This window comes from Homo sapiens, chromosome 9 (assembly GCF_000001405.40).
Source record: "Homo sapiens chromosome 9, GRCh38.p14 Primary Assembly".
NCBI classification, from domain to species: Eukaryota; Metazoa; Chordata; class Mammalia; order Primates; family Hominidae; genus Homo; species Homo sapiens.
The window spans coordinates 93,015,276-93,039,841 of NC_000009.12; the positions used below are offsets into that span (position 1 = coordinate 93,015,276).

At 55.6% G+C, this 24,566-nt stretch overlaps 1 protein-coding gene across 5 annotated transcripts in view, besides 8 other annotated features; it reads left to right on the top strand.

The window, feature by feature from the left end:
• The window catches only part of FGD3 (FYVE, RhoGEF and PH domain containing 3), an 88,711-nt gene extending 67,753 nt beyond the window's left edge, over window positions 1-20,958 (top strand). For 4 of the 5 annotated variants that reach the window (NM_001083536.2, NM_001369951.1, NM_033086.3 and 1 more), the window contains 9 exons: window positions 462-554; window positions 2,861-2,940; window positions 4,556-4,586; window positions 5,042-5,149; window positions 7,052-7,114; window positions 14,599-14,721; window positions 17,494-17,598; window positions 19,266-19,406; window positions 20,063-20,958. In NM_001083536.2, the coding sequence (NP_001077005.1) occupies window positions 462-554; window positions 2,861-2,940; window positions 4,556-4,586; window positions 5,042-5,149; window positions 7,052-7,114; window positions 14,599-14,721; window positions 17,494-17,598; window positions 19,266-19,406; window positions 20,063-20,314 (996 nt within the window). In that variant the 3' untranslated portion in view covers window positions 20,315-20,958. The remainder of the gene's footprint in view (window positions 1-461; window positions 555-2,860; window positions 2,941-4,555; window positions 4,587-5,041; window positions 5,150-7,051; window positions 7,115-14,598; window positions 14,722-17,493; window positions 17,599-19,265; window positions 19,407-20,062) is intronic. The other variant, NM_001286993.2, reaches the window with a different exon arrangement.
• Window positions 61-297: a silencer, noted in NCBI's record as "fragment chr9:95777618-95777854 (GRCh37/hg19 assembly coordinates)". NCBI's record gives its function as "represses an EF-1alpha promoter that drives an FKBP-Casp9 reporter gene in an ReSE screen in K562 erythroleukemia cells {active_cell/tissue: K562}" and the evidence as "EXISTENCE:reporter gene assay evidence [ECO:0000049][PMID:32094911]".
• Window positions 6,595-7,495: an enhancer, noted in NCBI's record as "H3K4me1 hESC enhancer chr9:95784152-95785052 (GRCh37/hg19 assembly coordinates)". NCBI's record gives its function as "activates a minimal SCP1, AML or CMV promoter by ChIP-STARR-seq in primed H9 embryonic stem cells {active_cell/tissue: H9 hESC(primed)}" and the evidence as "EXISTENCE:reporter gene assay evidence [ECO:0000049][PMID:30033119]".
• Window positions 9,059-9,851: an enhancer, noted in NCBI's record as "H3K4me1 hESC enhancer chr9:95786616-95787408 (GRCh37/hg19 assembly coordinates)". NCBI's record gives its function as "activates a minimal SCP1, AML or CMV promoter by ChIP-STARR-seq in naive H9 embryonic stem cells {active_cell/tissue: H9 hESC(naive)}" and the evidence as "EXISTENCE:reporter gene assay evidence [ECO:0000049][PMID:30033119]".
• Window positions 9,852-10,643: an enhancer, noted in NCBI's record as "H3K27ac-H3K4me1 hESC enhancer chr9:95787409-95788200 (GRCh37/hg19 assembly coordinates)". NCBI's record gives its function as "activates a minimal SCP1, AML or CMV promoter by ChIP-STARR-seq in naive H9 embryonic stem cells {active_cell/tissue: H9 hESC(naive)}" and the evidence as "EXISTENCE:reporter gene assay evidence [ECO:0000049][PMID:30033119]".
• Window positions 13,750-14,251: an enhancer, noted in NCBI's record as "H3K4me1 hESC enhancer chr9:95791307-95791808 (GRCh37/hg19 assembly coordinates)". NCBI's record gives its function as "activates a minimal SCP1, AML or CMV promoter by ChIP-STARR-seq in naive H9 embryonic stem cells {active_cell/tissue: H9 hESC(naive)}" and the evidence as "EXISTENCE:reporter gene assay evidence [ECO:0000049][PMID:30033119]".
• Window positions 14,252-14,751: an enhancer, noted in NCBI's record as "H3K4me1 hESC enhancer chr9:95791809-95792308 (GRCh37/hg19 assembly coordinates)". NCBI's record gives its function as "activates a minimal SCP1, AML or CMV promoter by ChIP-STARR-seq in naive H9 embryonic stem cells {active_cell/tissue: H9 hESC(naive)}" and the evidence as "EXISTENCE:reporter gene assay evidence [ECO:0000049][PMID:30033119]".
• Window positions 19,692-20,485: an enhancer, noted in NCBI's record as "H3K4me1 hESC enhancer chr9:95797249-95798042 (GRCh37/hg19 assembly coordinates)". NCBI's record gives its function as "activates a minimal SCP1, AML or CMV promoter by ChIP-STARR-seq in naive H9 embryonic stem cells {active_cell/tissue: H9 hESC(naive)}" and the evidence as "EXISTENCE:reporter gene assay evidence [ECO:0000049][PMID:30033119]".
• Window positions 21,312-22,205: an enhancer, noted in NCBI's record as "H3K4me1 hESC enhancer chr9:95798869-95799762 (GRCh37/hg19 assembly coordinates)". NCBI's record gives its function as "activates a minimal SCP1, AML or CMV promoter by ChIP-STARR-seq in primed H9 embryonic stem cells {active_cell/tissue: H9 hESC(primed)}" and the evidence as "EXISTENCE:reporter gene assay evidence [ECO:0000049][PMID:30033119]".

Consider the following 24,566-nt stretch of genomic DNA (forward strand, 5'->3'; position numbering starts at 1 on the left):
CGAAACCCCATCTCTACTAAAAATGCAAAAATTAGCTGGGCGTGGTAGCACCCGCCTGTAATTCCAGCTACTCGGGAGGCTGAGGCAGGAGAAGCTCTTAAACACGGGAGACGGAGTTTGCAGTGAGCCAAGATTGCGCCATTGCACTTCAGACTGGGCAACGAGAGCAAGACTCCATCTCAAAAAAATAAAAAAAGGTTTTTTTTTAAATTATACAATTAGCTCATGTTCATGGTTTAAAAATTTAAAAATAGAAATGAACAAAAATAAAGCTAGCGACTAGAGTCTCCTCACTCAAAGATGTAACCATAGTTAAAATTACTGCACATATCTTTTAAAAATATTTTTCACTTTATAACATTAAAAAAAAATGAAAAGGATCCCATGTGAGAAGCTCACTGGGGCCCCTGGGGGGACCTGCGGGCAGCTCTCGTTCCTCACCTGTGCCATCCCTCTTGCAGTTCAACAGCATGATCCTTTACTGTGTGCCCAAGCTGCGGCTCATGGGCCAGAAGTTCAGCGTCCGGGAGAAGATGGACATCTCAGGCCTCCAGGTGGGTGAGCTCCTCCATCTCAAACCTGTCCCCCTGGAAGGGGCACTGAGCAGGACTGGGGACACCAGGCTCTGGCCGCTGAGGCACTCACCTCTGTGCAGCCTGGCACCCCTACCTGCTTTTCCAAGCCATAGACCCTATCTGTGACCAAGGCATTGTCTCAGTCCTGGTGCCCCAGGCTGGAAGGGCAGGATTCCACCCTTCTCTGCTTGGCCCACCTGCCACGTTGCTGCCAACTCCCCTTTCTGCAGAGCCTTGGAGGATGCAGGGGGCAGTAGGGATGGCACCAGGACCTGGACTGAATCCTGTCACCTGTGAGACTGGGACTCGGGGCCCTATTTACAAACCCAAACATGAAGCCCAGGGTTGCAGGGAGCAATCCTGGCTGGGGCGGGGGCCGGCTTCCCTTGTCTGGTTCCTGGGTCCTGAGCTCTTTCCTGTCCTCCTGCACCGGAGCCGGGGGGAGGGTTCCAGGCAGATCTGTAGCATGGTCCAGAATGACCTTCTTTTTTTTTTTTTTTTTTTTTTGAGACGGAGTCTCGCTGTCACCCAGGCTGGAGTGCAATGGCATGATCGTGGCTCACTGCAACCTCCACCTCCTGGGTTCAAGGGATTCTCCTGCCTCACCCTCCTGTGTAGCTGCGATTACAGGTGTGTGCCACCACACCCAGCTAATTTTTGTATTTTTAGTAGAGAAGGGGTTTTGCCATGTTTGCCAGGCTGGTCTCGAACTCCTGACTTCGTGATCCACCCGCCTTGGCCTCCCAAAGTGCTGGGATTACAGGCATGAGCCACCGCACCCAGCCTAGTCAGTCATTATTTTTAATGGTATTTCTTAACCTGGAGTGCAATGGTGTGATCTCGGCTCACTGCGACCTCCACCTCCTAGGTTCAAGGGATTCTCCTGCTTCACCCTCCAGAATAGCTGTGATTACAGGTGCGCGCCACCACGCCCAGCTAATTTTTGTATTTTTAGTAGAGACGGGGTTTCACCATGTGGTCAGGCTGGTCTCAAACTCCTGACCTCGTGATCCACCTGCCTCGGCCTCCCAAAGTGCTGGGATTACAGGCATCAGCCACCGTGCCCAGCCATGACCGATTTTTTGTAGAGAAACACTAGAAAAGTGGTTTCTTCTAACTACTATAAAAAGCTGGGCACGTAGTTTCGCTGGCTCACGCCTACAATCCTAGTACTTTGGGAGGCTGAGGTAGGAGGATCACTTGAACCCAGGAGTTCGGGACCAGCCTGGGCAATGTAGTGAAACCGTGTCTCTATAAAAAATAAAAAATTAGCCAGGCATGGTGGCGCACATCTCTATTCCCAGCTACTTGGGAGGCTGAGGTGGGAGAATTGCTTGAGCCCAGGAGGTCAAGGCTGCAGTGAGCTATGATTGTGCCACTCACAGTGCTCCAGCTTGGCTGACAGGACAAGACCCTGTCTCAAAAATAATTTTAAAAATAATAATGAAACAACCTTAAAAAAAGGTATTTTCTCTAGTTAGTGTTTTTTTTCTTAACCTGAATTCAGAGAATTTCAAGGTAAGAAGGGATTTTTGGTGGCATTAAGCAAATGATTACATATTTTGATTTAGCAAATATTTTTGGAGCACCCATTAATTCAAAGCCCTCCCGACAGGGGACAGGGACCCATTCCAGTCCCCCAACTACCCCACTGCAATGAGACATGGAACAGGCGTGAGCTACTGCGCCCGGCCATGGTCTCTGTGGTCTTATCCTGATGGAAGAGGATGGAATCTGTGGCTGCGGTTCTATGAAGAAGTGACCCCATTTTCATTAGTTCTGGGCACACATTGTCCTATTTACATGTCTAATCTCAGGGCGCACCTGCTCAGGGGCTCAGACTCTGCAGGGTGGCTAAGGCCATCCTTGCTCTTCTCATCAGATCCCTTTCCATCCTAAGGGGACGTGGCTGCTGTGGCGGGCAGTGCCCAGTGGTGCCTGTGGGGAATGGCTTGGCTTTAAGGAGGATGGATGGGGCGACATGGGGAGGATGCCTGACGGGCTGGGTGTCGGGGGGGTGGGTTTGGTCAGCAGAGTTCCAAGCACAGAAGATGAGCGGTCATAGCTGTGTCTGAGCAGGATGGGAGGCCCGCTGTCCCTGATGGACCAGCTCATGTAGCAGCCACGCTGACCTAAGCCTCTGCACCCCTCTCCCTGCAGAACTGTGGGGCTGCAGGCTCACCTCTGTTACCTCCTTGGGGAAACACTTCTAAGTCAGAAAACATGAGGCTGGAGCTAAAATGACCAGCTTGGGTTTGCTTTGTTCTTTGTTCTTGCCCCTTCAGGTGCAGGATATCGTCAAGCCAAACACAGCACATACATTCATCATAACAGGAAGAAAAAGGTCCCTGGAGCTGCAGACGCGGTATGGAACGGGCTGTTTCTAGTGAATGTCTTTGACCTCATGTCTTCTTTTTCTAAACTGGTTAACCTTGTAATATATTTTTATTTATGCATGGCTTAAAATTTAAAAGTACTGTTACTGAAGCACCAGGGTTCCGTCTATGTCCTGCGCTTGCTGCACAGAAAGCCAATCACTGAGATGATTATTGCCAAGGAAGAAGCTTTAATTGGCCGAGGAGATGGGAACTCAGTCTCAAATCCATCTCCCTGACCAACTAAAACTAGGGGCATACACAGCAGGGAATAAATGTAACAATGTGTAAGAAAACAGGAACTAGGGAGGGGCAAGGAAGCAATCATGATGAATAAAGGGTCTGGGCATCTCATTGTCTGGATGTGGTGACCTGGTGAGTTTCAGTCCCTTGATGGTTTTTTTGAGAGGCCTGAAGGTGTTTTCTGAGGAAGGAACTCAGATAAAACAAATGTTAACTTTCAAGCTTTAAGACCAGAAGGGTCAATTTGTATGTTTATCAGATAAACTATCTATGGGACTCGGGGCGGTTTTAGTACCAAGGGAAGTTGATGAAAATTAAGCCTCTGCCCACCTCCTGTTCAGCAGGCCCAGCACGTTCTTAGTCCTCTCTTGAGTATCCTACGATTTTCTTTTCTTTTTTTTGAGACGGAGTTTCGCTCCCAGGCTGGAGTGCAGTGGCACAATCTCGGCTCACTGCAACCTCCACCTCCCAGGTTCAAGTGATTCTCCTGCCTCAGCCTCCTGGGTAGTTGGGATTACAGGCACCCGCCACCACGCCAGGCTAATTTTTTGTTTGAGTGAAAACCCAACGGGGTTTCACCATGTTGCCCAGGCTGGTCTCGAACTCTTGACCTCAGGTGATCCACACCCCCTCGGCCTCCCAAAGTGCTGGGATTACAGGTGTGAGCCACCGTGCCCAGCCCCTTCTAGGATTTTCTATGCACATGCACATATATCTATGTTTTAAATCACAGATGGCTGTTTACTGTATAACCTGTCCTGCACCTTGCTTTTTCACTTAATTTGTCAAGAATCATCCCATATCTGCACACCATTCCTAAAGCAACACAATTTTCCATTATGATCATTAGCTAGTTCCCACTGACGAGGACCTGCGCTCCTCCCGAACCTGGCCATCACAAATGCGGCTGCAAGCAGTGTCCTTGTTTTTAGGTGTTTCTGCATATGTGTAATTGTAGCCGTCAGATTGCTGACATAGATTTGCTGGTCACAGGGTAGTGCATCTGTTTGAAATGTTGGTGGCTGTTGTCACACTACCCTTTAAGGTGATGTCAGGCTGTGCTCTGACTAGCCATACATGGGAGTTCTGTTCTCCCACACCCCACCAACAGTGGGATCTTCATAATGACCCATTATGGTCCAAGGAGGCATTGAATTACAGCCACTGCAGAGGGCTCCACATGGCTCACCTGGCCCCACCAGGCCACGAGTGTTTTGAGGCCCTTGGGGCCAATCTTCCAATCCTTGAGCTGCGTTGACAAGCCAGTGCGTGGCTCGGGTGTGCTGCAGGGTTGAGAGAGGGCTGGTCATTTAGAGTCAGTATCCAAGACTGGATTAATACAAGACCGTTTTGGTTTTTTAGGACAGAGGAAGAGAAGAAAGAATGGATTCAGGTGAAGCTTCTAAAGTTGTAAAGTAACCAAATGACCAAGTGATTGAGCAGTAAGGCCATTCATGTTGGTTCAGAGGGTGGGGGCCCTGGCCTCCGGGACTGCTGGCCCTGTGCTGTACCCTGCAGGGATGCAGTGACCACACTGTGCCTTCATAAGCAGCTTCAGATGCCACAAGCCCTTCAACCCATTCATTTCTTTGAGGGCCCCCAAATAAACATGAGCGGGCCTGGTGGAGTCACAGGCCAGGTTCCCCGCTCAGGGTGGATCTCCTCAATCTGGACAGCTCCAAGGGGAGACCACATCATTGGTAGGGGGGAAGGGAGATGGCCAGTGGCCTGGGCATTGTTCTGGGAACGCCAAGGCCCGTCCTCGGGACAGAGGCAGGCGCGTCCCTCCTGTGGGTAGCATCCTCCCATGCCCCTTTATAGTCCTCACTGTTGTGTTGCTGTGTCCAGATCATCCAGGCCACCATCGAGAAGCACAAACAGAACAGCGAAACCTTCAAGGCTTTTGGTGGCGCCTTCAGCCAGGATGAGGACCCCAGCCTCTCTCCAGACATGCCTGTGAGTCAGTGGCCCGGGGTGCAGAGAGACCTCCAGGGGACGGGCTACCTGTGGAGAGCAGAAGGCACTGGCGTCTGGGTGGGCAGCTTGACCTCCAGGCTTTCCTCCTGCTACACCAGGGACCAGGACAGCGGGCACTCCCTTGTGTTAAAATAAAAACTTAAGACAAATTAAATTTAACAATTTAATTGAGCAAACAACTATTTGTGGATGGGATAACACCCACCCCCTACAACCCCTGAGACCAGAATAGGTCCAGAGAGCCTCCTGTGCTGCTGTGTGGTTGGAGAGGATTTATGGACAGAAAAAGGAAAGTGAGGCACAGAAACAGCTGGGTTGGTTACAGTTCCGCGTTTGCCTTATTTGAACATGGTTTGAACAGTCGGCCACCTTTCCATGGCAGCTTTAGGCTGAACTTAATTTCACCCCTACCCACCCTCCACTAAGTGCCGCTGCAGCCTGCTGGGCCCCAGGCCCGTGGTCAGCGCCCAGCTGGGCGGGAAAGCAGGATGTGGGCGTGGAGGAAGCGCTCCTTCATGACCTGTTTGGTTGTCTGGTGCCTTCTGCACAGCATCCTACACACAAAGGTATGTTACATCATCCCCACAGAAACTGAGTCTGAGGAGCTCTGTGACGTCCCCAGGCCATGGGTGGTGGAACTGGCATCACAGGGCTGTGGTGCGCTGCCCGCGTACCACTCTGTCTGGTCTAGCACAGCCTATGACTGCAGACACCTTTCTGTGTTTGTATTTCCCTCCCAGTGCCCCCGTGCCCTGGGAGATGGTGGCTCAGAGCCCCTTGAGGGAAGCAATAGGAGCATCTCACTCCCCATCCTCACGTGGAGCTGCCCCAAGGGCCCAGGGGGATTTCACATGGAGACTTAGGCTGGGAAAGAGGCGGGGCTGCAGGGTCCTTGCCGAGAAGCCTGGCCAGGGAGTCAGGGCTGCAGCCCCAGGGCCAATCCCCGGCCATTTCTCCTCCCGGGGCTTCCCTGGAGTCAGGGAGAGAGGATTGGGTGAGGAGGCCGATCTCTGCCCGCTGCGAGGAAGGCCCTGGAGTCACTGGCCCTGGACAAGGCATAGGGGTTGGAAGTGTAGCAAGGACATATCCAGGGAGGCACCCAGGAGAGACGGTGCCCTGAACCCTATGCCAGGCCCTCTGCTCCAGCCTTCACGGGGGCACCAGGCATGACTCAGAGTGAGGGTGCCCCAACTCTCGCCGCCTGACCCAGACCCCGCAGGCCTGAATCCCAACTCCAGGCTGGTTCTGCCCTCCCTACCACCTCCAGGGGTCTGCCTGGCACAGCCCACCTCCCCCATATCCACTTCATATTTGTATCAAGTCCGCTAGGTTTTTTCTGCTTTCTGCATTTACTTTGCAAGAACTTTGCACCATCCAGAAAGAAAGAGTCCTGGGACTGCCTTGAGTGGAGGTGACCTGGGAATGTGAGACACTGAGCCTGGCTGTCCTTAAGTCTGGCCAAGCCCTTTCTGTTCAGAGGCTGAGCCCGGAGCCTCACTGTGCTGAGAAAGTCGGGGAGCTGCAGAGACTCCACAAGGAACCCTGGAGGATGAGAGAGAACCCAAAGGGACCCTCCTTACTCACTGGGTGACTTGGTGTAAATTAGAGCCCCTGAATAGGGCGGGCCAGAGGGAGGCATCACCCACCAGCCACCCACCTCACTGGGAGATGCTCCTTCTAGGAGAGGCCTCCAGCTCAGGCCAGGCCCAGGGAGGGAGCAGCTTCCCCAGAGGCACAGCAAATCCTAGGCCTGGGAAATCCTGCTCCCGAGCCTGCCCTCAATGCACAGAGGTGCTGGGGGCTTCAGGAACTGTCCCCCCGCTGCACAGTGGCTGCGTGGCCCTGGAATCTCCTCTCACTCGGCCTCTGTGTCCCTTCTAGATCACGAGCACCAGCCCTGTGGAGCCTGTGGTGACCACCGAAGGCAGTTCGGGTGCAGCAGGGGTAAGTGCCCCATGCTCAGCGGTCAGCAGGGGTGAAAGGCAGAGCAGGGGGTCAGACCAGGATGACCTATAGGGAAGATGGAGAGGGAGGGTCAGACCAGGGCCTCCTGGAGGCGGAGGGCTGAGGGGCCAGTCTGCCCTGCTCACTGTGACTGGGGGCCTGGGTGTGCGGAGGTGAAGCTATGTCTGAGTCCAGGCACTGATGAATTGTGTGGTCACTGCAGGGGACTCTGTAAGGTGGGCACGCAGAGGCCTGTCAGTGTGGGGATGTCCATTACCTGGTTGGAGGTGGTCACACAGCTGGGCACACATGTGAGAATCTTCTGAGCTCCAAGTGAACATTTATGCTCTTAACATGTGTGAATCGTCCCATAAAGCATGTATTAACAGTGCAAGGTCCTTAGGAGGCTCGGTAATGCAGAGGACTGCTTAGTTCTTCACCCCAAGCAGCGGCCAGGGAGGCCTAAGCCTCCCTGCCTCTCCCCGTCTGTGTTCTCGTGTGCCTTATGGCAGCCAGCCCACAAGGGTGCTGCTCCGGCCAGGCAGACTGTGTCCACGCGCCCGCCTGCCAGGGGATAGGGAACTGGGATAAGGCCTGCCTCCCTCCGTTTAATCTGGGAAGTTAAAGAGGATGAGGGCCAAGAGCATCTGTACCTGGAGCCATCATCATTGGTGCCCAGGCCTGGCACTCACCAACGCTGACAGCAACATCACCGTGGAGCACCCCGATGTGGCTGCTGTGCCCAGATGCAGGAGGGTGATTCTCCAGGTGCCTCGCCTCACCCCATGCTGTGCAGGCCCAGGAATGACATGGCCCCAGATGGCTGCCCTAGCCCCATCCAAGACGGGTCTTTCCAGGTGGGCTGGCCGCTGGCTGCCCCCTCCCATGACCTGAGCTTTACCAGGCCCCACCCATCATGATCTGGGCTGGCCGGGCACTGGGAAACCATGAAGAAACTCAGGAGGCCTCGGGAAAGATGTAGTGCTTCAGGGGCACGACGGAGTGTGGAGGCGTGGGGGGCTTGCACATACATCCCAACGGGCAAGAGGAGAGACCCCAGATTCACAAAGCGCAGCCACCTGGCCTCTGCAGAGCAGACAGGCACCCTGCAGGGACATCTTATTAACACTGAAACGAGGAAGTCTGACACGGGGTGGGCAGCTTGGGGGAAAGTGGTGCCCTGGCCTCCTAGGAGAGAATCTCCTCTCACTTGTCTCTTCTTGTGTCTGGCCTCACCCAGCTTCCTGGCCACCCTCCCCTGAGATGCCCTGGGTTCCCCTTGCCCTGCTAGGCCCCAGGGCCTTGACACCTGCTGTTTGCTCTGTCCAAGTCTATGAAGCCCTGTAGCCTGCCCCGGGGGACCCTGATAAAAATGTCTCAATGACAGGAACCCGCCCATCAGCAACTTTTTTTTTTTTTTTTTTTTTTTTTTGAGACGGAGTCGCTCTGTCGCCCAGGCCGGAGTGCGGTGGCACAATCTCAGCTCACTGCAACCTCCACTTCCCAGGTTCAAGTGATCCTCCTGCCTCAGCCTCCCCAGTAGCTGGGACTACAGGCACGTGCAACCATGCCCAGCTAATTTTTTGTATTTTTAGTAGAGACGGGGTTTCACCATGTTGGCCAGGATGGTCTCAATCTCTTGACCTTGTGATCCGCCCGCCTCAGCTGGGATTACAGGCGTGAGCCACCATGCCCAGCCTATGATGGGAATCCGCCCGTCAGCAACTTTTTGTATTGCCAAACAGTAAGTGTGAGGCTGGCTGTGCCCCAGACTCACAGAGCTCTTTAGGCCCTTTTCTGGAGCATTTAGGAAAGTTATGAAAAGCAATGTGTACTCATAGTGTGAGTGCAGCCACAGAAGCTTGAGCTGCCCACAGTGGACACACAATCGCAGGGTCACAGTGGGGACGTGACAGCCCACACCCATGCATATGAGGCACTGCCTGATCAGCCCCACTGCCTGGAATCCCACAGCCAGGGCAGACATCCCTGACAGTTTCCATGGTGATGCCCTGGCACAGAGCACTGCCTCCCACACACACAGCTCACATAAGGTATGAACTTGGCTGGCCTCTGCCTGATGACCCTCCATGTCCAGCCCCGGGCCCTGGGCCAGGCTTATGGAGACATCCGTGGTCACAGTCCTGCCGCAGAGGCATCAAGGCTCAGTGAGAGCCACCTGTCGTTTGTGAATGCGTCTGTCCTTGGTGTGAGCCCATACGACATGGAGAGGCACCTTCAGTGTCTTGGGTAGGCAAGGAAGCAGAAGTGGGTGGAGGCCACGTGCTGAGGGATGCCCTGGGTGGGCAGGACCTGGGCGGGTTGTAGGAACAGCAGGAGCCCAGGCCTGGCTGAGGGGATCCACACAGGGCGTCTGAGTGTGGGACAGGGTCCTGGGGAGTCTAACCCCCGGGTTGGTGCCCTGACAGGAGAATGTTCTAGCTGGAAGAACCTGCAAGGCCATTGTTTAAAATGTTTTAACTTGTGGGAAGACACAGCTTGGAGATGGCCTTGGAGCAGGGCTTTGAGCAAATGCCGCCTCTTGAGCCTCACTTGGCTCTGGGCAGAGAGATCAGAGAAGCTGTCAGGCGCTGCTGGCCACACAGGCAATGCCCCTATTGGCCGCCTGCCTCCGTCACAGGCGAGAAGGTAATTGGGGCTCAGGGCCTCAGTCAGTGTCCGGGCATCTGCTGGACCAGGCTGTGGCCAGCAGACCCGCTGTGCCTCGATGGGTGCGCCCAGCTGGGTGGACAGCACCGCCTGCCCCACTCCCTTTACTTCCCCTGGCCCAGGGTTCAGCTGCCTCAGGTTCTGCAGCAGCCTGGGGAGCCAGGTACTCAGGGTCACAATTCCAGTTCTGGTCTCTTGTCTCTGTCCCTTACCCACACCAAGCCAGAGCTGGGCCCACGACAGACCACCAAACAACCACAGACCTCAGCTCCAGCCCAGGGCCTCCCTACGAACAGTGGATGTGGCCTGGCCTGGCCCTGTGTTCCTCACTGGTGTCTTCCTGTGAGCAAAAACAGCAGAGTTGAGACTAGGGTAGGAGCTGGGACAGCTCAGTGTCTGTGTCAAGCTGCACAGGGTGAATGTGGTGTGATGGAGGTGAGCTCAGTGTGCGTTTTACAAAGCACTCAAAAGCAAGTTCATTCTCTCATCAACAACAGTGATTTTTGCTACAGTATACCAAACTTCAACTTACTTCCTGAGCCCAATTTCTTCAGTGGTATAGTCCCTGTAAGCCCCTTTCCTAGGAGAAGCTACACCCAAGCCAGGAAGTTTTGCAAGGGGCCTTGCAGAATTCAAAGCCTTCCCTGATGGGCAAGCGTGGAGTTGCTCTTAACAGAAACACAAAATGTCAGAATCCAAAAGGTCTCTTAGGGCCTCAGACCCACCATGGGTGACACACGAACCCCTCCAAGGAGCCAGCGAGGCATCTAAGGGCACCCTTGACAGGCCAGTGCCAGGGCCTCTTCTCAGGCACTGCCCCTCCTGGGACGAGGCCACGCCCTGTGTCCACCCTCGGGGCTCCAGGGCAGGGCTGGAGCAGAGGCATCAGGCCTCAGCCTGGCCACCCTCCTGTTGGAATAGCCCCAGGCAGTGCCTGCGCCTCACAGCCTGTGTCCCCTGCTGGGTCATTTCAAGCAGCTGATGAAACTGACTCGGTTTCATCAGGGCCTCTTACTGGGCTCCAATTCTGTGTAACTCAGCTGTGCCCCCCGTTCCTGGATGTGCAGCTCAATTTGCTCAAGAAAAAATGCTGGAGGGGGCAGCCCCGTTGGCCCTTGGTGGAGACCACTTTCTGGGTCAACGCTGGTGTGTTTTGGGCGCTTTGGGGGTGAAGTCACTCGGTCAGATACTGAGGAAGCCACAGTTCTCCATGTTCCTGGAGAGACTTGGGCCCAGCTTTTCTGATATCCCGACATCCACAACGAAAACCTGAGCTCCCTTTTTTGGGTCAACCTGCGTGGTAACTTCATTCACAAAGGGGCGTGTGCATGGCCGAGAGAGCATCCCTCGCTACTCAGGTGGGCCTCTTGCCTCTCAGCTACTGCGTCATGCCTACAAATTCAGCCACACCTTGATGATGGGAGCTGGAGGGTTGGCCTCGACGGGCTGCGGACCTCAGCTCCATGGGAGCTGGTGCAGGGCCAGGACCCACCCCAAGTGCTCAGCTCAGTTCCATAGCTGGGAAGATTTGCCAGATAAAGGAAGCCAGTGGGACTCCCGGCACTGCCTCAGCCCTGAGCCACACTCACTGCTTCCAGAATTGTCCTCTGTCCCTTCACTGGGACCCGGTCCCACTGGTCCTCAGAGGCCAAGCTCTTGCTGTGCACCCAGCCCCGCAGGTACCTGTCCTCCCACATGGTTGTTCTTTGCTCCTTCAGCCCCTGCTGCCCCCTGCCCCATGGGCACGCCCTGTGTTGTTCTCAGCTACCATGCAGTGCTGCCCCTGGGTGCCGTGGCCAGGGTCCCCCTTCCGGGGTCAAGAGCAGGCAGTTCTGGGCTGAGGTGCACATCGGGGCTGCCCTTCCACTAATCACTCCCACTTCCCAGCCTCTCTGGGTGCCCACCTGGAGAAGAGGTTTTTGCCGCCAGGTCAGTGATGCCCATTCCCCACCTAGTGTGCTTGGAGCCCCCACTGTGGTCTTGGGTGTGAGAGAAACTGCAGAGGGAGCCCAGGCCGCCTCACCTGTGTCTTTGGAGCAAGGCCCATTCAACAGAGGTGCCGGGGGCTGCAGCACAGCGAGTGAGAGTCCCTGTCACCCTCAAGCCAGCCCTGCCCTTGGGCTCCTGTGCCAAGCAGGACAGGTGCTGGGGGGACCTGCAGGTGGGCCAATGAACGGGGACCACAAACCAGGCCACACAGCTGGAAGTGCCCGGCCAGAATTTGCACAGAGGCACTGGTGTCAGTTTGTTGGGGCTGCCAGAACAAAATACTACCTGAGGCTGAAGTCTGAGATCAAGGTGTGGGTAGGGTTGGTTTATCCTGAGGCCTCACCTTGGCTTGGAGATGTCAGTTTCCTCCTTGTTTCCACACATGGTCTTCCCTCTGTGTCTCTGTGTCCTCATCTCTTCTTATAAAGACACCAGTAAGATTGAATCAGGGCCCAACCTGAGACCTCATTTTAACTTAATGTCTCTTTAAAGGCCCTGTCTCCAAATATAGTCACATTCAGAGTTACTGGGAATTATATTTTCAACATACGAATTTGGGGGGACATAGTTCAGCCCATCACAGCCTCCAATGCTTATGCCCAATCTGAGCCACCCCTTTCTTGCTTCTTCACCCCCAACCAGTTCAGTTCATCTTTTTCTTTCTTTCTTTTTTTTTTTTTTTTTTTTTTGAGTTGGGATCTTGCTGTGCTCTCCAGGCTGGAGTGCAATGGTGTGATCACAACTCACTGTAGCCTTGACCTCCCAGGCTCAAGCGATCCTCCTACCTAAGCCCCCCAAATATCTGGGACTACAGGCACGTGCCACCACATCAGCTAATTTTTTGGATTTTTGTTGAGACGGGGTCTCACTATGTCGCCCAGATTGGTCTCGAACTTCTGGCCTCAAGCAACCCTCCCGCCTCAGCCTCCCAAAGTGCTGGAATTACATGTGCGAGCCACTGCGCCTGGGCCTCCTTCTCCTTAAACCTGAAGAGTTTATGTTAAACTTTTTTTAAGCGTATGTTGTTTAGCATTTTCCTAAGGCAGTTTTGGACCCATACAAGTGGGGATAACCGCAATGAGTATCCCTCCCCAGCTCCAGAAACCTCAGCCTGGTGCTGTTCTTATGGCCCCTCAGCCCCTAGCCCCGACACACACACACACACACACGCACACACACACACACACACCCCAATTTTCTGTAATATTTTAAAGCATATCCCAGACCTCTTTTTATTCTGCTCAGCTACAGTAATGGTAAGCTTATTTTAGGTAGTTTTCTTTTAAACAGGAAAAAAAAAAAAAAAGAAAGAAAAACACCTGCAGGCTTCAGTTTCCCTGACTGGAGAGGTTGAGATAAACATTTCTAGTGGCAGTTCCAGCTCTGACATCCTGGGGAACTCGATACATATCTTTGCCTTTTCCTAAAGTCTTCTTAACAGTGGTTTCGGCACCCATAACAAAGTGTCTCAAGGGAGGCACCTCCTCCCCAGAGAGGAAATGCTGGGTGTGGACCAAGCTTCAAAAGCCCAGGAAGTTATTTCATCAAATGATGGGGCCTTTCCAGGGGTTGCAGGCTATTGTAACAGGAAACGGTAATTAGCAACTTGCCAAACGCAGTCGGGGTTTTATGTACTGTGATGAGGCTTACGACCCAGGGACCAGTCACCCATCCCATTTTACAGGTGAGGAAACTGAGGCTCAGAAAGGAGAGGTGAGTCATCCAGGGTTGCAGGGCTGACAGGAGGCAGGAGACTGGGGTCTCTCCACCTGGCACTGTTCATAATCAGACAGGGAAACCAAGGCTGGACTGGGCAGCCCCAGGCTACACCTGCTCCAGCCTCCACACCACCCTCCTCTGTAGGCAGTTCAGGCACAGGAGACAGAGGAGGGTACAGCCCCTGACCCTGGCCTCAGCTCTTCATGGCTTCCTCACATGTCCTCACAGTTTTTTTTTTTTTTTTTTTTTTTTTTTTTTTTTTTTTTTTTTGAGACAGAATCTCGCTCTATAGCCCAGGCTGGGGTGCAATGGCGGGATCTCAGTTCACTGCATCACTGCAACCAACCTCCGCCTCCTGGGTTGAAGCAATTCTCCTGCCTCAGCCTCCCGAGTAGCTGGGATTACAGGCACCCACTACCACTACCATGCCCGGCTATTTTTTGTATATTTTTTAGTAGAGGTGGAGTTTCACCATGTTGGCCAGGCTGGTCTCAAACTCCTGACCTCAAGTGATCTGCCCACCTCAGCCTCCCAAAGTGCTGGGATTACAGGCATGAGCCACTGCGTCCAGCCTCCCCCTAAAATGTTGCCATGCTTGTCTGCACACTCAGGCATGTGGGTGCACACCTATATTCATCCATGTGGCGTGCCTGGAGGGTGTGGCCCGCGGTGCCCAGTATAGAGCAGGCGCATGGCCACACGGCTCCAGTTGCAGACAGGGATGCCCCCGTCCCCAGGGCTGCAGGCCATGGCTGTGCTGCCCACTGCCCACCCTAGTAAGTGCTGTGTTCCTCCAGCTGTGGCTCCTTTCAATAGTTTCTCAGATGCACCAGATAAAGTCATTGGCCAAGTTGTTCCAAACATGAAGATCTTGATCCACTTAAAATCTTTACTCGGTGCCATGGGCACAGGCAGCCGCTGGGAGGTGAGGGAGGGAAGAGAGACGTGGCTGACTTGGCTCTTCACTTCATTCCCTTCTGCATGTTCCACTTTTTGCCTTGAGCCTGTGTGGCTTTTACAGTCACGAGAGCTGCCACTCCACTGCCGTGTGGGGTAGGGTGCACACATGATTCAGAAGCTGATGGCATCTATTTGCCTCCTTATAGCTCGAGCCCAGAAAACTATCCTCTAAGACCAGACGTGACAAGGAGAAGCAGAGCTGTAAGAGCTGTGGTGAGACCTTCAACTCCATCACCAAGAGGAGGCATCACTGCAAGCTGTGTGGGGCGGTGAGTCCCGGGAGAGGGGGACAGGGACAGGAGGCCACCCTGTCCTCTGCTCTGACAGAGCAGCTGAGTCCTCACCAGCAGCACACCAGCCATGCACACCAGCCCTGCACGGAAGGGCTTCCTGATCCTGGCTCATGGATATAGATACCCTTGAGTGCAAAACTGTCCTGTCCGAAGTAGAATCAAATCACTTTTCTCTGGTCAGCTCTGGTGTTCAACAAACACTACTTGTGGTTGAAAAAGTGCTGGATTTGGAACCAGAGAACCCCTAGCTGGGTGACCTTGAGAACAAGGAGATGATAGTCCTCATTCCTTGCAAGGTGTATTGGAGACGGGTGAAGGGTGTGGCTGTGCTGGAAGCTCCTACTGCTGGCCTTTGCCCCAGCGCTCCAGTGGTGCTGAAGGCCTGGTGGGCCCATGTGATGAGGCAATGCCTCCGACTGGCGCCCCAGCTGCACACCATCTCCATTCCCCTCACTCCAAAGCCCTTTCTCCTGAGAATGGAGAAAATTCAATGCTTAATGTTGAATGTAAAAGTATCCCTGAGGAAGGAACTGATCATTTAAGTATCTTTAGGTTAAGAGATTAAAGTTGAATCTGTGTTAGCAACTGGATCTCAGCACAGAATGCTTTGGAGGTGTTTTTCCAAAGGGCACCAGCAACCTGTGCCTGAAGCGGTTGATGTTGCTTGTCATACCTTTGCCACATGGCGGGGGGGCAGCAGGGGGGGGGGAATAAGTAGATGAGTCCTTGGAAGGATGGATGATGGATGGGTGGGTGGGTAGAAGGATGGATGAATGGATGAGTGGTTGGAGAGGTGGGTGTATCAATAGGTAGATGGATGCGTGGATGGATGGATGAGGGGATGGATGGATAGGTGGGTAGTTAGATAAATGGCATATGGAAGTATGAATGGAAGTGGATATATAGGAAGTATAAATGGATGACTGGAGAATTGATGGATGGATGGATGGATGAACAGACGAATAGTTGGATGGCATACGGAAGTATGGGTGGATAGATGAATGGTTGGATGGATGGATGAATGAATGAGTGGATAATGAATGGGTGGATGGATGGATGGATGGGTGGATGAAGGGATGATGGATGGATGGATGATGGATGGATGAATGTATGGTAGAGGATGGATGGGCAGGCAAGTGGGAAATGTGATCTGTGCCTCTTAAAGAACTCTCAGTTTGGGACCCAGTTTGTACTCTAGAATTGGGGGATTTAACTCAAACCTGGTTTCCCCATCAGACCTGAGGAGAGAATCTGTTGCTTTAAGAGCCATCCTCAGAATACATGCCCAGGTCCCTGCTCAGCTCCAGGCTTCAGGCTTTGTGACTACTCAGGATCAGAAGCTGCAGCCTCCATTAATCTTCCTTGGAGTGAGCGTCCTCATGGCCAACCTGGACTTCCCCAGCAGAGGTGGCTCGGTGCCCTCAGTGACATCACTGCATCTCCGTGTCAGCCTGCTGGGGCTTAGCTTGGCTTTCATTGCCTTGGTTTGCCCGGTATTCCTGCTTCCTCACACAAGAAGTGATAGAGAAAAGAGAAATTCCAAAAATAAAATGCTCATAAAAGGAGGACTCCAGAAGAGGGTGCCTTCCATCTACTTGAAAAGAGCAATCTCCCCTCTGCTGTGGCTCCTGAGACCTGCGATATGAGCTCAGTGTTTGAGTGCCATGGTCCCTTAGCAGCCAGTGCCTGCAGGTTTAGGTTCAAACTAGAATTTCCCAAGGTTTGAACAAGGACCTCCAAGTCCTCTGCAACATTCAGTACGTGGGGCAGGATGGAACAGGAGAAGCAGATGCAGAAGTGGGTGTGGGTGGCCCTGAGACAGCAGGAGCCTCTTTGTGCTGGGAAAAGGATCCAGCAGAGGGAGGGAGACCGAGGCAGAGAGAGACAGGACCACCGATGGGATGCAGCTGCAGGGGCCAGAGGAGGGGGCACAAAGGGGCCTGCTGGGAGTGTCCAGGGTAGGAAAAGCTCTGGAAAAGTCACTGAGGAGCACTCCTTGGCTAAATTCCCATGCTCCACCCATGCATCTGAATCACATTCCACTGTACAGACAGACCATGACAACTTCATCCATTCATCTGCCGATGGACACGGGTTGCTTCCAGCTTTTGGCTATTGTGAATAACGCTGCTATGGACATGAATGTACAAACATCCCTTCAGATCCTCCTTTCAGTTCTTGTGGGTACATACCCCGAGTGGAACTGTGGCATCATATGGTAACTCTGTGTTTAACATTTTGAGGAACCACCCTACTGCTTCCCACAGAGGCTGTACCAGTTTACTTCCCACCAACAGTGCAAGGATTCCAATTTCTCCACATCCGTGCCAACACTATTTTCTTTTTGTCGCTGTTGTCATTGTTTGTCTGGAAAATAGCCATGCTGAGGGGTGAGAGGTGGTTTCTGGTTATGAATTTGATTTGCGTTTCCCTGATGGCCAGTGATGGGGCATCTTCCCCTGTGCTTGGTGGCTCTTCACACTCTTCCTCCCACGCACACAAGACTCCTGGACTCTGGACCCTCCAGGACAGAAGGGTGGGTACCAGACGCCCAGCAGGGCCAGCCTTGCTCTCTGCCCTCAGACAGGGCTCCCCTCAAGGAGAAGCTCTTATCCCTCGCCACACGCCACACTGTGTTAAGTCTCCTCCCGCCCACTCCACCTCCCGCCCACTCTACCTCCTCTGGCATCTTCCTGGATAATCCTCTGTCCCAGGGTGCTGGGGTCACACGTGCCCTCTGTTTGGCAGGTCATCTGTGGGAAGTGCTCCGAGTTCAAGGCCGAGAACAGCCGGCAGAGCCGTGTCTGCAGAGATTGTTTCCTGACACAGCCAGTGGCCCCTGAGAGCACAGAGGTGGGTGCTCCCAGCTCCTGCTCCCCTCCTGGTGGCGCGGCAGAGCCTCCAGACACCTGCTCCTGTGCCCCAGCAGCTCCAGCTGCCTCTGCTTTCGGAGTGTCCCTGGGACCAGGATAGATGTGGGTGTGTCTCAGTGGGGCCCCCAGGCTGGGAACACACTCGGAAGATCCCGTGTGTGCACGCTGGCTTCTCGGGACCAGCCAGGGCCAAGGCTTGGGAACCATTTGCATCCAGGAGTTAGATGGGAACAAGTGTCACTCCTGGTCACCTGGTTGGAGGGCATGGATTGAAGCTGCCCTCAAGTCCAGGCCTTGAGGCCCACCTGAGGGGAGATACTGCCCTTCTCTCTGCCTGCCTCACCTCCAGCTGTCAGAGGGTGAGCAGGGCCCTGGAGGCAGGCACCCCCTCCTCCTCCTCCCCGTCCCCTTCTCCTCCTCCTCCCCGTCCCCTTCTCCTCCTCCTCCCCGTCCCCTTCTCCTCTTCCTCTCCCTCCTTCCTCTCCCTCCGCCTCGCTGTCTTTCTCCTTCTCCTCTCCCTCCTCCTCCTGCTCCTTCTCCTCCCCGTACCCTTTTTCTACTCTTCCCTCTCCTTCTCCTCCTCCTTTCTCTCCCTCCTCCTCCCCCTCCCCTTCTCCTCCTCTCTTTCTCTTCCTCTTTTCCTCCTCCACTCCTCTTTCTGAGAGTAGCTGCTGCTTTCCCTGACTTCCTTCCTCAAGAATACAGTCTATTCTGGGGGGTTGCAGGACAGCTGAAAAAGAAAACGTGAGTTTCCAGAAAAGCACATCGCCCTTTCTCTCCACTCGACACAGCCTGCGGTTTGCAGTGCCAGCTGCACGTTGGAGTCTCCTGGGAAGCTTCTAGTGTTGATCTCCCTCCTAGAGGCTCAGTGAGGTGATCGGGGGGTCAGTGTGTTTTCAGAGTCCCAGCTGCTCTGACTTACAGCTGTGGTTGGAGCCCTGACCTAGGTCCTTGGTCTAAGAAGTCAAGGATGTAAGTCTATTAGGACTGAGTGTTGAATGGTCTTGATGGTGAAGAAGGACCTTGCACTGCCTACCGAGCTCCCTCATGCCTGCAATTTAAATACCGAGGTGTGTTCTGAGAGCCCCAGGTCCTTGGGGCACGGGCCTCCAGGGCCCTGTAAGGTGGACTCTGGCCTCGAAGGGGGGCCCAGGTCTGAGGGGTCCAGCTCTGGCAGGGGGTGTCTAAGCCACGTCCAAATGGTGGACAGTAGCTCCAACAGTGACATGACAGAGGGAGGGCCTGTGTGTGTGGTGTGTGTGTGTGTGCTGTGTGTGCACGCACGTGCATGTATATGGTGTGTGTAGAACTGACACGCTTGAAGTCCCTGTCCCGTGACCCACCCTCAGGTACTTGCTGTTGGGTTTTCCTATGATTTTGATGTGTCCTGACCCAGCATATGGATGCCCTCCCCTTGGAGGGCCCAGCCTGCAAACCCCATCTGATACCACACATGCCTATGTCCTGCAGGCTTCTAGTGACCCTTGCAAGCCGGGTGAGGCTGGTCCCAGTCTCTGTGCAGATCTTGGCCATGTCTCCACAGCCAGCTCCCCCCAAGCAGTGGCCCTGGCCCTACCCCAGCCTCCTCAGAACAGGGGTGACCACTGCAGGGGAGACTGCCCCTAACCTGTGTCTTTGTGTCCCCAGAAGACACCCACTGCAGACCCCCAGCCCAGCCTGCTCTGCGGCCCCCTGCGGCTGTCAGAGAGCGGTGAGACCTGGAGCGAGGTGTGGGCCGCCATCCCCATGTCAGATCCCCAGGTGCTGCACCTGCAGGGAGGCAGCCAGGTACGTGTCCCCACCCCACCAGGCCCTCAGGCCAGCAGCCCAGAGCCTCAGGCCTGAGGCACCCACAGCAGGCCTGTGCCACCAGCTGGGGTCCACCTGCTTGAGCAGTGTTACCTGGGGCCTCAGTTTCCCCGGCAGCGCAGGATTCCCTCTGCTTGCCAGTCACAGGAGACAGAACCTACTGGCACCTGGGTGGACCCCAGAGCCAGCCAGGGTGCAAGGAGGGGTGGGCCAAGGGGGCACAAAGGGTGGCCAGGAGCCACAGAACCTGTCAGGGGAGACTCAGGAACCCACACAGCCCTGGCCCGGCCCCTTGGAGCCCCAGTTGCTACTCTGTCACAGGGGCTGGCCTGTCCTGCCTCGCCTCCCCAGGGGCCAGACAGCCCAAAGAAGGCCATGGAGTCTGGGGGTCTGGTGAGGTGGGCAAGGCATCCCCCTCCCTATATCTCCCTCGGGAAGAACCAGTGGATGCCCCCACCGACCGTCCTCCTGTTGACAAAAGGCAGTGCAGGCACAGCCACCAGACCCCTCGGGCTCAGCACCTGCCTTGCGTTGCAAGGGTCTGGGAGTGGCCTCCTGGGAGAGGCCCCCATCACTGAGGTGAGCCCGAGGCCGGGAAGCTGTGGCCCCGCTGACCATCTGCTCCTCTGCTGCAGGACGGCCGGCTGCCCCGCACCATCCCTCTCCCCAGCTGCAAACTGAGTGTGCCGGACCCTGAGGAGAGGCTGGACTCGGGGCATGTGTGGAAGCTGCAGTGGGCCAAGCAGTCCTGGTACCTGAGCGCCTCCTCCGCAGAGCTGCAGCAGCAGTGGCTGGAAACCCTAAGCACTGCTGCCCATGGGGACACGGCCCAGGACAGCCCGGGGGCCCTGCAGCTTCAGGTCCCTATGGGCGCAGCTGCTCCGTGAGCTGAGTCTCCCACTGCCCTGCACACCACCACATTGGACCTGTGCTGTCCTGGGAGGTGGTGTTGGAGGCCCCATGAAGAGCGCCCTGGACTGCTGAGGGTGGGCCAACAGCCCAGAGCTCAGGACACTTGGCTTTGGGGGGAAGGAAACTGAGGCCCAGAGAGGGGCAACCACTGGCCAAGGGTCACCCAGCAAGTTTTGGCTAAGAGCCTGGCCTCCAGCCCCAGCAGTGTGGCCCAGAGCAGGGGCCGACTGCCAAAGTAACCATCATCCATATGGGCCGTGTGGTGATGCTGGCCCGGAAGGCAGAAAGAGGCAGCATGGGCACTGCCAGGGACAGCCACATCCTGCTGGTCTGCAGCGTGGTCCACCCCGCCTCTGCCCAGCCTGTCTACACCGTGTGAGCTGAATCGTGACTTGCTTCCCACCTCCTTTCTCTGTCCTCTCCTGAGGTTCTGCCTGCAGCCCCCAGGAGGTGGGCCTGCCCCATCCTAGCTGGACTCATGGTTCCTAAATAACCACGCTCAGAAGCTCTGCTAGGACTTACCCCAGCCACTGAGTGGCAGGCGCATGAGATTTGTGGCTGTTCCTGATGCTAGTGGCACACAGTGCTTATCTGCATAAATAAACACTGGCCACCAGCAGTGGGCGCAGCCTCGGTGATCTCTCCCCAGCCCCTCAGCAGCGTCCCCCCACAAGGTGGGCTGGCTGATAAAGGGTTGAGGGACAAGGGTGATGGAATCACATCGGCCACACACCACCTGGAAAGCAGTTCTGCATCTGTTGTCCTGCCAGGGGGTGGGCAGGTGGCAGGTGAAGATGGCCAGGCTCAGAGATGGGGAGGGTGGGGTGCAGGGCACTCAAGATGGTGCCAGTGGGGACCTTGCAAAGGCTACTTGGGGTGGGGGTGCTGTTTGCATCAGAGCCCTGAGGGCCTCTGGGAGAGAGTGGGGGAATTTAGGGACCAGTGATTGGGGGTGCTCACTGGTCAGGACCCCCGCCCCTCTAATATCCATATAGCACCATGTGGAGACACCTGGGAAGACAAGCAGGGCACCTACCTGGGGGACTGAGAGGGCAGGAGGAAGAGCCAGAAATGGGAGACTGGTCACAGGTGATGGGGGGGACAGGTGAGATGAGAACACAGGTGAGGCGGAGACAGCTGAGATGGGGGCACAGGTGAGGGCACAGGTGAGCTCCCACGAGCTCTAGCTGGGCCACGCTTGGGATGCTGCTGCAGCCACTGCACACGGAGCCCCTGCTGGCTACCTGGGCCTCTGCCACAGCTTCCCATGCTATGCTGGATGTTCTGGTCCCACTTCACACTAAGGAAACTGAGGCTCAGGGATGCTAAACAACCTGCATACTTCCACATTGGACAGTGCCCACCAGGGGGAGATGGAATCAGACCCTTTCAGCTGCACAGCAGCGTCTCAATCGGCTCCAGCTGCTGCCCAAGGAAGCAGCAAAGCCCCTCACCCAGCTCAGGCTGGAGCAGGGACGGGGTGGAGGAGGCCTCGAGGGGACCCCAGCCCGTTGGCCCTGCCTTCTCCCCTGCAGAGCTGAGCTCTGACTCACATTCATCCCCTACAGAGCAGTGCCGGAGCCGCTCCCTCACACACGTCTACTAAGCATCGGCTGCAGCCCTAATGAGGCCCTTCTTTGAAGGGTCAGGACTCCGTCCTCTGCCTGCTTCAGTAGTTCTATTTCTGCCATCTCACCACAACCCCAGGAAATCCCCACTTGACAGCTGAGGAAACTGAGTCATAGAGAGGCCACCCCCAGAGCCCCACAGCTCCGGAACCGAGCAGGCACCTGGAATTGGCCTGCCGGCCATGGTGAATCCAGCAGGGCAGGTGTCTGCTGGGGCCAAAGACTGTGCTGTGGGGTCGCCATGGAGAGTCCCCTAGCCTCGAGCCCTCTCTCTTGCACCCACCAACCTGGCTAGTCCGCTGGGAGGCAGAGACAAGGTCTGTCACCGCAGGCCTGGGGGCAGGGCGTGCCCCCAGACTCTGCCGCCTGCTGCGAGGCCAGTGCTGATGGGAGCTTGTTTGCTGTCATACTGGTGGCTGTAGTCTGTTCCCACTTTTTCCAAAAGAGGAAGCTGAGGCTCAGACAGGGGCAGTGAGAGGCCTCCAGCATGCAGAGCCTGCGTGCTGTGCCCTTACAGAGCTGGCCTTCCTAGGGTCTGTTCCCAGAGACCCCTCCTGCGGGACACCCCAGCAAGGATGCTGCTGGGGAGCTGGCTGCCTGGGCCTGGCCTCTCGCCACACACTGCCCCGCCCCCAGCTCCAGCCCTCCCATCCCACAGCCCAGGGCCTGGGCACACTCCACTGCCCGTCCATGGAGTGGCAGAGCCTGGACACATGCTGGCTGGTCGCATGCTGGCTTTTGGCCTCTTTACCATCCTCCCTCCCCTTTCTCCCCAAGGCCACCCCCCTCCAGAGGCATAGGAGACCACCCCCTGGGTGGGGGGAAGGGAGGCCTGTGGCTGAGTAGGAGGTGGCTCCCGGGGTCTCGGGCCTGAAGAACGTCGAATGGGGCAGCACAGAGTCTGGGGTGTGGGATTACCACACCTGGGATTACCATGGGTGTCAGGGAGGGACTGGGCTGGGGGCCCTTCCGAGGCTCCCCTGCACCACAGCCTGCAGGATGGGGGCTCCTGGTACCAGCCTAGGGCCTGAGGTTGGAGCACACTGGACACCAGAGCAGAAAGGCTTTCACAGGTGCAAGAGCGGGGGCGGGGAGGAGAGAGCAAACCAGGGCGGAGGGGAGGGAGTGTGCTTCTGCCATGGGCAGGTTCCCCACCCGGCACACCCCACCTCTCTAGGCCCAGAGCAGGGTGCTGGCTGCAGCCTGGCAGACCTGGAGAAGATGAATGAGCCTCCAGGAGGGCCTGCTGCAAGCCCAGTACTCCCCAGCTGCCTGAGAGGAGAATTATGACTGAGAAGGCGTCTTGGCAATAGTGAAACAGACCCAGAGAAGGAAGTGCACTTTCCCAAGGTCATACAGTGAGTTGGGGACTGTTCAGGATTCCCTCGTTCACTTTTTTTTTTTTTTTTGAGACGGAGTCTCACTCTGTCACCCAGCCTTGGAGTGCAGTGGTGCGATCTCAGCTCAGTGCACCCTCCGCCTCAGCCTCCTGAGTAATTGGGATTACAGGTGTGCACCACCACACCACACCTAGCTAATTTTTGTATTTTTAGTAGAGACGGGGTTTCACCATGTTGGCCAGGCTGGTCCGGAACTCCTGACCTCAGGTGATCTACCCACTTCAGCCTCCCAAAGTGCTAGGATTACAGGCATGAACCACTGCGTCCAGCCCCTAATTTACTTTTCTTCCGTTTGCTCATGCACCAGGTGCTGCTAGCAGACTCTCTGGGGGCTCAGCCTGGGCCACCACATAGGGGAGGTGGGCCTCCCAAGTGTCCATCCCATAGGGAAGCAAGTGCACTGAGCATCATTTGGATTTCTGGGACGGGACAAAACACCACCTGTAGCCCCAGCCAGAGTCACACTTTCAGCCCCATCACCAGGCTGCAGCTACCTGGCCTTCAGAACCGCCAGCCTCCTTTCCCCCTGGGGCCTTGGCACATGCTGTTCCCTGGGCCCGGGGGCTCTTCCTGCAGGGCTTTGTGGGCCACCTCCTCAACGCTTACTGTGCTCAGACACCGCCTCTGCAGACAGCCCTCCAGCCTTTCCACTTTTTTGTTTATCCATTTGCTCTCTTGTTTAACCTCTCTTTTCCCACATAGAATAGAAGCTCCGAGAGGGCAGGAAGCAGCCCCTTTAGCAGTGCCTGGCCCACAGTAGGTGCTCAGTGAATACCTGTCCATAGCCTTGGAAAGGCTCAGTGACTCCTGCCTTGCCATAGGGGCCCTGAGCACTTTGGGTCTGGAATCCTCATTTTATAGATGGGAAAGTAGAGGCTGCCTGAGGTCATAAAGGCTCAGTGCTCCCTTGCCTCACTCACCATCCTGGGTCTCGGGGACATCAGAGTCAGCTCCTTCTCAGATAGTTGGTCCTGTTGTAAAGATGGGCACACTAAGACCCAGACAAGCTTCCATGCCCCCAGGACATGGGCAGAGGGAGACTGGGATGCAGGTCAGTCCAATTCCCGCTGTGCCTGCCTCCCACCGTCCCACGGAGGCAGCAGGATCTGCAGTAGGACAGGGCCTCTGAAAAGCCACTAGCCCCCACAAGCCCCAGCCTAAGAGGGCGACTTACCCCAGAGGCCAGAGCCCAGGCCTTC